Raw genomic sequence first — 9,814 nt, 5'->3', positions numbered from 1 at the left:
AGCCAGATTGAAGATAGCTAAATGCGCATGCCAAGATTCCAAAAGGAAAAACTTAGCTCTCAACTTTCCTTTGCATGGTGATTTTTCATCCTCTCCTTTTTCTTTTTGTAAAAAGGGAATCCCCATGTTTACAAGTTGAAATCCAAAATGCACAAGTGGTCAGTTCACAATTCTGTGACCCATGAACATCTGTGGGCCTGGGTGTTCCTTGGGAATCTGCAGTGCTTGGAGCAGTGAGCCAAGCCTGCCCTGGCAGAAGGGAATTCTCCAGTGAGTCAAATAGTCCTGCGAGTGCCCGGGGTCTGCTTCTCCTCTGGTTCTGCTTTCCTGGGACATGTCTGTACTTGACTTCCCCTAGTTTTATGAACTGCATTTTGACTATATTTTTGGAGGTGGGTCCATCTGAAACTCGTTACAGGAAGTAGGACAAGAATCTTCATTTTGCCTTTAAGAGAAATAAAACTCTGTAATCTGAGATGGGCAAACATGCTCCAAGTCTGTTTACCAAGGAACAAGAACCTCTCTGTGTCTTTTGAGCAGACAGAAAAATTAAAAATAAAATATTTATTTGGGATTTGTCTCTGAGGACTTCAGTGACTGAAAACCAATAGGGCCTCCCCTCCCTCTGTGGAAAGGCGAGTTCCAAAGCCCCGGCTCCCAGGAGAGCCCTATGGTGAGGCTGCTCCAGTACAGCAGGTGGCAGTGGGTGTGGCTGAAAGTGCCTCATCACTTTCATTCTGGATCCTAGGTCTGTAGATGGGCTTTGGCTATATCATCTTTTTAAAGTTTTAATTTGGTAGCTGCTTCAAAAGTTAAGGGAACCCTCAATGGGCAAAGTTAGCATGTGACATATTTGTGTCTCCTCTTTGGACCTTGGTTTTCCTTGTCTGTAAAATGAGGGAATGGACCAGATCACTGCTCCAGAGCCCCAATGCAACTATAGGAATCTGCACTTTGAGGCTTGCTTCTCTCCTAGTAGGAATTCAGTTCCTCTGCCCTAACTTTTCTGCTATAGTCTGGGTGTTATGGGCTGAATTGTGTGTCCCCCACAAATTCATATATGAAAGTCTTAACCAAGTATCTCAGAATGTGAGCATTTTTGGAAATAGGATCTGTATTAGTCTGTTTTCACACTGCTAATATTAAGACATACCCAAGACTGGATAATTAATAAAGGAAAGAGGTTTGATTGATTCACTGTTCAGCATGGTTGGAGAGGCCTCAGGAAACTTACAATAATGGCAGAAGGGGAAGCAAACATGTCCTTCTTCACATGGTGGCAGCAGCAAGAAGAAGCGCCCAGCAAAAGGGGAAAAGCCCCTTATAAAACCATCAGATGTCATGAGAACTCACTATCACGAGAACAATAGCATGGGGGTAACCACCCCCATGATTCAATTATCCATCACCGGGTCCCTTTCACATGTGGGGATTATGGGAACTACAATTCAATATGAGATTTGGGTGGGGACACAGCCAAACCATATTAGGGTCTTAAACGAAGTCATTAAGTTAAAATGAGGTCATTAGAGTGAGCCCTAATCCAATATGATTGCGGTCCTTAGAAGAAGAGATCAAGACACAGACAGGCACGGGGGAAGGACACGGGAGGATGCAGGGATAAGGTGCCCTCTGCAAGCCCAGGAGAGAGGCCTCAGGAGGAACCAACCCTGCCAGCACTTCAATCTCGGACTTCCAGCCTCCAGAACTATGGGACAATACACTTCTGTTGTTTAAGGCAACCAGTCCGCAGCACTTTGTTACGGTAGGCCTAGCCGACTAACACCACATGATATCACAATGAATGTGCTGGGCTGTGAAAGAAGTTCTGTGTGTTTTTCTTAACAGACTTGGATTTTTGGTTTTAGCCCAAAAAAGACTTTTCTGTAGCAGGATATTTAAAACATTATGTTTGTTTATTTTTTACAGATTTCTTTATCATCTGATGTGAAATAAGCCGTGTTAGTAAAATAACTCCTCTTTATCTTTACTTGAAGGGGGTTTCACAATTTTGACCCAGAGGGCTATTTTTCTTAATAGCTATGGATTGTCATCCTGCTTTTTTTTTGTTTCTTTTTTTTTTTTTTTGACGGAGTCTCGCTCTGTCACCCAGGCTGGAGTACAGTGGCATGATCTCGGCTCACTGCAACCTCTGCCTTCCAGGTTCAAGTGATTCTCCTGCCTCAGCCTACTGAGTGACTGGGACTGCAGGCGCATGCCACCACACCCAGCTAATTTTTTGTATTTTTAGTAGAGACGGGGTTTCACTGTGTTAGCCAGGACTGTCTCAATCTCTGGACCTCGTGATCCGCACGCCTCGGCCTCCCAAAGTGCTGGGATTACAGGCATAAGCCACCGCGCTCGGCTGTCATCCTGCCTTTTAAGAAATACTGTCATTATCTATAAAATTCATTAAAGGCCAAATAGCTCATTGGATAAACCCGCAGGTGATGGCACATGTATAAAGAACTTCAGACCACACAAGCAACCCCAGATATGGCACGGTCCAGTTTTTCTTGAGTATTTTTGGCTCTAAAGTTGATTGAGTCAAACATCATTTGATTGAGTTACAGAAGGACAAACAAAATGATGAACAAAGGTCACCACTTATCACCTGCTGTTTAAGATTCTCATATTCTTACTTGAAATAAAGCATACCATTACCAAAGTGGATTTTTCTTTCCTTTCGTATCAGCATTCTGATTCTTTTATATAACAGTCACATGTAATTGGAATGTAGCATCAGACACACAGGGAGCATAGTTTGTTTCTCTTTGTAAGCTCCATTTGACCACAGCAGTGAAATTTCCCAAGAACGGTGTTTCCAGATCAAGACTACTCACTTGAGAGCTTAGAGTGGTCCAGGTTTTGAAGTGCTGCATGTCTGAGAAACAGATCATCGTAGACACTGAGAATTGGGGCACATCCTTCCTTTCCTATCTGACGGTAGACATGCCCCGTAGATGCTGGATAACAGAGACAGATGATTCAGATGTAGCACCCCGACATGAAACCAACCGTGGAAATACTGATAAAATCACCTGTTTGCTTTTTAAAATATGCAACAACATGAGTAAATGACTAGTTCATTTTATCAGCCCCCTTTTTTTTGCTGTCATATAATTACACGAATGAAAATTGATACACTTTTTAAAATACAGCTTTTCAAAATCCCATCTTGAGGAAAAAAGCTTGGCCAATTAAGAAGGCTGAGGGGAGGAACTGCAGGCACTTTTATTTCCAGCTGTCAACAGGATGGAAGAAATATGTCAACTTATTTATATTTATTTATTTATATGGGTGATGAATAAGTTAAGGAATGCTTCATCTCAAACACAGATTGCTTTTATTTTAGCTAAGTTAATGTTTCAGTTCCATATATATTTTTGAATTTCCATCAACGTCAAACACCATTTTTTTCTTTCTTCTTAAAAAAAAAAAAAGATTTACAAGCACTTTTACGGCACTCAAGAAAGTAGGCTGAAGGTTCATAATAATAATTTTCCTTTTAAAAAACATCCATCAGACCAAAATAAAATCATTTTAATTAACTCCTTCCTGAGTAACTAAAACCTTGGAATGTGCTGAAAGGTTATAATAAATAAGACAGTCAAAGATCAACTAGCTTAAAAGGTATTTTTTAAATTAAACTATGTAAAATGTACAATATGTTTCATGAAGTACAAACTGTTGGGCCCAGGGCCAAAAAAAATGTTGTCATGTTTGCCAAATAAACTGAAGTACCTTGACTTTTAGGACCTAGAGGGTGTTGGCTGGGACAAAATAACATTAAGGCCCTGTAAGTAAATCCGTCAGCATCTTTTTTTGTGAAGTTATAATGATCACTGCTGAAAAGAAATGCCTTTGAACACACAGGTAAAAGTACCCAGATAAACTTGCAGTAAGAGGATGAATGTTTTTGAACGACCAATTGTCCCAATGTTCTGACAAGAGCAGAGAAAACACAGCCAACTCAACTTTATTTTCAGATTGTGAGATTGCACAGTGTGTAAACTTATCATCATTCTTTATATGGAATTTCATAGAAATGACTCACAGGGTACCAGGCAGCAGTTCTTGTACTGGTTTTGAATATGATTGATAGCTGTTCTCCAGGTTGCTTCTGAAAGTATGCCTAATGGTAGGGCCCTGGTCTCTCTGAACAGGACAAAGGATATTTCCTCCTCTAAGAACATTTCCCTTCATCACTTCTCTGCCCCCGTCCTCTGAGGCAGAAAGAAGGCCCATGAGCGGCCAAGTGCTGGACTCTGTGCCTCTGTGGTCCCCGCCTTCCCTGGACTCCTGTGGGCTGCAGCCTTCTTAACACACATCTCATGATAAAGTAGCTTCAGTGCTCACTCGGCAGGTTCCAAATGACTTGCTTTATATCTTGGCTACAGTCCAATTTTAGTGAAGGCAGAAAAAATTCTAGAGAGACTTTGTGGTTTATGAAAAGTATAAAATGTGTAGCTTGTGTAAAGTCAGAGTCTTATTTACTATTAACTACTCCCAACTCACACATTTGCTAGGGCTGGCTCTAGGGGACAAATATGAAATAGACAAAATTTGTGGCAGTGTCCTTCCTGCTGCCACCACTGAACCTCGGCTTCTTAGCTAGCTGTTTATCGTCTTCCCAGGAGAATGTGTATTTTCAGCATTTTTTTTAAGGTGAAAATATTTCAGAACTCAAAGCAACAGATTTCTAATGACTGAACCAAGGCATCATTGATAGGTGGCAGGGGAGGGGCAGTGGGAGGTGGAAAGAAGACATACCTTAGGACAGTGAGACTGCCCAACATGTACTCACATCACATTGGAGGCAGCCACTTACTTACAAAGCTGGCCAAGCAGTCTCTGTCCCAGAAGCTCTTGCTGCTTCTTTTTGATGTCTCAAGTAAGAGTTCTCAGGAGCACACAGGTCCCATAAGAAATGGGACTCTACCTGCACAGAACTCAGGTAGTTCTCGGGTAGCTCTTCCACCTGCACAGAACTCAGGACCCCTTTTTACTGAAAACAGGTACCTCTTAGGGAACTAGAAGTTACAATAGTACATAGTACCAGGTCCTATAGGACCCAACTTGGCCAGGGGTGTGTTTGATAGATTACACACCATCTGTGGTCAGGCTCAGAACTTCTGCTGTAGGAGTCAAATGCCTGAGCTAAATTGGTTCCTAGAACTTCCATTAAAGCAGTGTTGGGAGAAGATGTTTCATATTGGGTGCAAAAGACACAGCCATGCCCTTTCCCTGATGCCACATGACCTTCAGATTTATCTGTCTTGTCTACATTCTTCCTTACACAGCAAACAAATTATTTTCCCTGCTAGAGTACTTTGATATCTGTCAGCACGGTGCTTTGAAATGGAATGTCTCAATGGAGCTGGCCATGCACTTTGACCTTGAAAGGTACTCCAGGCTGTGGATTGGTTGGGGATGCGGCACAAGCTGACTTGCTCTTTCAGAGATAATTACACTGCTCTTGGTGAAAGTGCCCCCTGAGAAGGACCAGAGGCAGAACTCTACCCATGCGGGTAGAAACCACTTACCCATGGAGATCCTCCTCCTTTAAAAAAAAAAAATTAATTGAGACAGAGTCTCACTCTGTCACCCAGGCTGGAGTGCAGTGGTGTGATCACAGCTCACTGCAACCTCAAACTCCTGGGCTCAAGTGATCCTCCCACCTCAGCCTCGGATTATAGGCTCAAGCCATGGCACCTGGCTCCATCCTCCTTTTCGATGTCCTAATCTGTCTTACCTTCTCTTAGATCCTTCCAGAGGAGATACCCTGGTCTCTGAAGTGGTTTTGTATTTCCACTGAAATATACAAGTCTGGATGTCTCCTACCATTGAGGTAATATTTTTATAAGTCATTTTACAAATGATAAGTTATTAGGCTAGGGGCTATATTTCTCCCCCTTTTCCCATGATATGGGGTGGGGGAAAGCTGTTTTATGACAAGATGCCTTGGGATGGAGCCATCTAGTGTACCCGGGAAAGACCCAAAGAGCCAAGAGAAAACACAGAATAAAATTAAACAAATAAAACCCGCAAAACCGGGCATCTCCCAATGACCCCAACATGTGGGAATGTTTTGTTCTTTTTAATGCACCCAAGCATTAATTTAGTCCCTTAAGGATTTTACTTCCCCAAACAAAGAACTTTCTGGAAAAGGGAGATAAAGCCATAGAGGCAACACAGTCACATCACCTCTTATAAATATCTTCCAGCCACTTTTCATCATCCTGTTCTTCATCGTCGATTGGCTCCTCGGTTTCCAGTGGAGTTGGGATAAAGAAGTGTGGCCTCAGGGGGGGCTTGCTGACGTGAGACTTAAGTCCAAACTTGCGCTTCAGCAGGTGGAACTGCTCTTTGACGTAGTGGTAAAACTCGTACTCGTATCTCATCCGCTGGTAGAGGATCTGCACAGCCTCAGGAGAGGGGACAGTCTTCTTCACCGTCACAGTCATGTTTCCAAGCTTCCTGTGCTCTGGAAGAGAACCGGGGTCGCACATGAGCCATCATTTGCAGTAGCTTAGAAGGGATCCCGGCGAGGACCCACATTACCTGTACAACTCTGGTAGCACCTAAGGAAGCAACTGCATATCCAAGTATTAGAAGAGAAGAAGGGTTCCTGACAATATTTGGAAACACTTACCAACTCTAGGTGTTAATGTCAACATGAGTTGACGAAGCACAAGCTATCAAATTTCCTTTCATCAGATGTGAACCATGCGATTGGACCAAATTCAATTGTTAACTCTGAGTTCTACATTCTTTTGAACAGCAGAATCTATCCATTTTCCCTCTTTTATTTCTTGATACACCAGAAAAGGGCTTTACCCTCAGAAGGAGGCATGGAAGAGCTGTCTAACCACTTTCTAATAATCTTGTTTTGTAAGTTTTAAAATATTGACATAAAGTTTAATTTGATACAAAATCCATTTCCATTTTACTATTTCAACAATGCATTTGTCCAGAAAAGGAAAGGAAGGGCTGCCAGATTTCTTAAGTATAATTTACAAATTTTTAAAATTTATTTTTATTTTTTGTAGAGACAGGTTCTCACCATGTACCCAGACTGGTCTCGGCATCAAGAGATCCTTCTGCCTTGGCATCCCAAAGTGCTGGGATTATGGCACGAGCCACTGCACCCAGTCTAAATATAATTTTAACCCTTGTAAATTTTAAATTTTTTATTGTGGTAAAATATATACAACTAAAATATGCTTAATTTTATACTAATGCTTAATAACAAAATATATTTTATATTCATTGCTGAATAGCATGAAAATGTTATATATAGAGTGTACAATTTTAACTATTTTTAAGTGTACACTTCAGTGGCATTAATTATATTTACAGTGTTGTGCAACCATCACCACTGTTTTAAAAATCCTTTCATGAGTCTATACAAAAACTTGATATCCATTAAACAATAACTCCCAATTCCTTTCCTTTCCTTACCCCACCCTACTTACCCCATCGATTAGATAGAACCTCTAATCCATGTTCTATCTTTATGAATTTGCCTATTCTCAGTACTTCATGTAGGTGGAATCATACAATATTTGTCCTTTTTTTGTCTAGCTTATTTCACTAAGCATGTTTTCAAGGTTCTTCCATGTTGTAGTGTGTATCAGAGCTTCATTCCTTTTTTTTTTTTTTTGAGATGGAGTTTTGCTCTTGTTGTCCAGGCTGGAGTGCAATGGCGCAATCTTGGCTCACTACAACCTCTACCTCCCGGGTTCAAGTGATTCTCCTGCCTCAGCCTCCTGAGTAGCTGAGATTACAGGCATGCACCACCATGCCTGGCTAATTTTGTATTTTTAGTAGAGATGGGGTTTCTCCATGTTGGTCAGGCTGGTCTCGAATTCCCGACCTCAGGTGATCCACCTGCCTCGGCCTCCCAAAGTGCTGGTATTACAGGTGTGAGCCACCATGCCTGGCCCAGAACTTCATTCCTTTTAAGGTTGAATAACATTCCATTGTATAGATAGAACGCAATTTGTTTATCCTTTCATCCTTGGAGAGACACTTGGGTTGTTTCCATCTTTTGCTTATTATAATGAACATTTGCATTCTAGTATCTGAGTCCCTGTTTCCACTTATTTTGGGTATATGCCTAGGAGCAGAATTGCTGGGTCATGCGGTAATTCTAAGTTTAATGTTTTGAAGAACTGCCAAATTATTTTCCACAGTGTTTGCACCATTTTACATTCCTACCAGCAATGTGTGAAGGTTCCAATTTCTTCGAATTCTCTCCTACGATTGTTATTTTCCTCCCTTTTTAAAATTGTAGCCATCCCAGTAAGTGTGGAGTGGTATCTCACTGTGGTTTTGATTTGCATTTCCCTAATGACTCCTGTAGTGATGCTGATGCTAATGGTTTCCCTAATTTCTAATGACCTTTTCATGTGCTTTTTGACAAGCATGTGTCCAACAAATGCTGTTTGTTTGTATATCTTCTTTAGAGAAATGTCTATTCAAGTCCTTTGCCCATTTTTGAAGTGGGGTTTTTTTTTGTTTGCTTTTGTTTGTTTTTATTGTTGAGTTGAAGGAGTTATTTACATATTTTAGATAATCTGCACATATATCAGGTATATAATTTACAAATATTTTCTTCCATTCCACAGGCTGTCTTTTCACTCTGTTGATAGTGTTCTTTGATGCATAAAAGTTTTTAATTTTAATGAAGACTATTTTATCCATTTTTCTCATATTGCCTGACTTTTGGTGTCACATTAAAAAAAATTGCCAAATCCAAGGTTGACATATAGAAGTTTTTAATTGTAATGGAGACCATTTTATCTGTTTTCTTCTTATTGCCTGTCTTTTGGTGTCATATTAAAGAAGCCATTGCCAAATCCAAGGTCATGAAGATTTGCCCTCACATTTTCTTTTATAATCTTGCTTTTGACTAAAATTTTTGTCAACAAATTTGAATAGGTATATAATTTACTAAATACAGTTCCAAATGGCTATTTCCAAAATCAGACTCATCTGAAAGGACATAGACTTCCCAATTTTTAGGATATTTGAGGTACCTTCTGAAGCCTTCAGTAGCAATTCTAAAGAAGGAATTTGAAAAATTCTCTATGTAGAGGCTAAGAAGGGTAGTGGGGGATTGGGGACAGGTGGGGATGGTTCATAGGTACAAAAAAAATTGAAAAATGAATAAGACCTATTATTTGATAGCACAACAGGGTGACTATAGCCAATAATAATTTAATTGTACATTTAAAAATAACTAAAAGAGCCGGGTATGGTGGCTCATGCCTGTAATCCCAGCACTTTGGGAGGACGAGGCAGGTGGATCACGAGGCCAAGAGATCGAGACCATCCAGGCCAACATGGTGAAACCCTGTCTCTACTAAAAATACACAAATTAGCTGGGCGTGGTGGCATGCACCTGTAGTCCCAGCTACTCGGGAGCCTGAGGCAGGAGAATTGCTTGAACCCGGGAGGCAGAGGTTGCAGTGAGCTGAGATTGCGCCACTGCACTCCAGCCTGGCGACAGAGCGAGACTCTGTCTAAAATTAATAATAATAATAATAAAATAACTAAAAGAGCATAACTGGATTGTTTGTAATGCAAAGGATAAATGCTTGAGGGGATGGATACCCCATTCTCCATGATGAGATTATTATGCATTGCATGCCTGTATCAAAACATCTCATGTACCCCATTAGGTATTAATTAAAATAAAAAATAAATAAATTCTCTATGTGGCCAACAGCCTCATTGAATAAGGGTATTACTTTTCAAACTGACTCTTTTGAAAGTCCTTTGCCAGGTTGGGTCCTTTGCACAGGGG

General features: G+C 40.8%; 1 protein-coding gene across 1 annotated transcript in view, besides 2 other annotated features; it reads right to left on the bottom strand.

The window, feature by feature from the left end:
- Nucleotides 228–347: an enhancer, noted in NCBI's record as "active region_25245". NCBI's record gives its function as "activates an Ori minimal core promoter by ATAC-STARR-seq in GM12878 lymphoblastoid cells {active_cell/tissue: GM12878}" and the evidence as "EXISTENCE:reporter gene assay evidence [ECO:0000049][PMID:35858748]".
- The window catches only part of UST (uronyl 2-sulfotransferase), a 329,961-nt gene continuing 323,476 nt past the window's right edge, over nt 3,330–9,814 (bottom strand). The window contains exon 8 of the mRNA NM_005715.3: nt 3,330–6,487. Within this exon, the coding sequence (NP_005706.1) occupies nt 6,204–6,487 (284 nt within the window). The 3' untranslated portion in view covers nt 3,330–6,203. The remainder of the gene's footprint in view (nt 6,488–9,814) is intronic.
- Nucleotides 5,976–7,175: an enhancer, noted in NCBI's record as "BRD4-independent group 4 enhancer chr6:149394281-149395480 (GRCh37/hg19 assembly coordinates)". NCBI's record gives its function as "activates an origin of replication core promoter dependent on BRD2, P300/CBP, MED14 and CDK7 cofactors, and independent of BRD4, by STARR-seq in HCT116 cells {active_cell/tissue: HCT116}" and the evidence as "EXISTENCE:reporter gene assay evidence [ECO:0000049][PMID:35650434]".

The sequence above is a fragment of the Homo sapiens genome, chromosome 6, assembly GCF_000001405.40.
Source record: "Homo sapiens chromosome 6, GRCh38.p14 Primary Assembly".
Classification (NCBI taxonomy): domain Eukaryota; kingdom Metazoa; phylum Chordata; class Mammalia; order Primates; family Hominidae; genus Homo; species Homo sapiens.
This window is presented reverse-complemented; position numbering and strand designations above follow the sequence as displayed.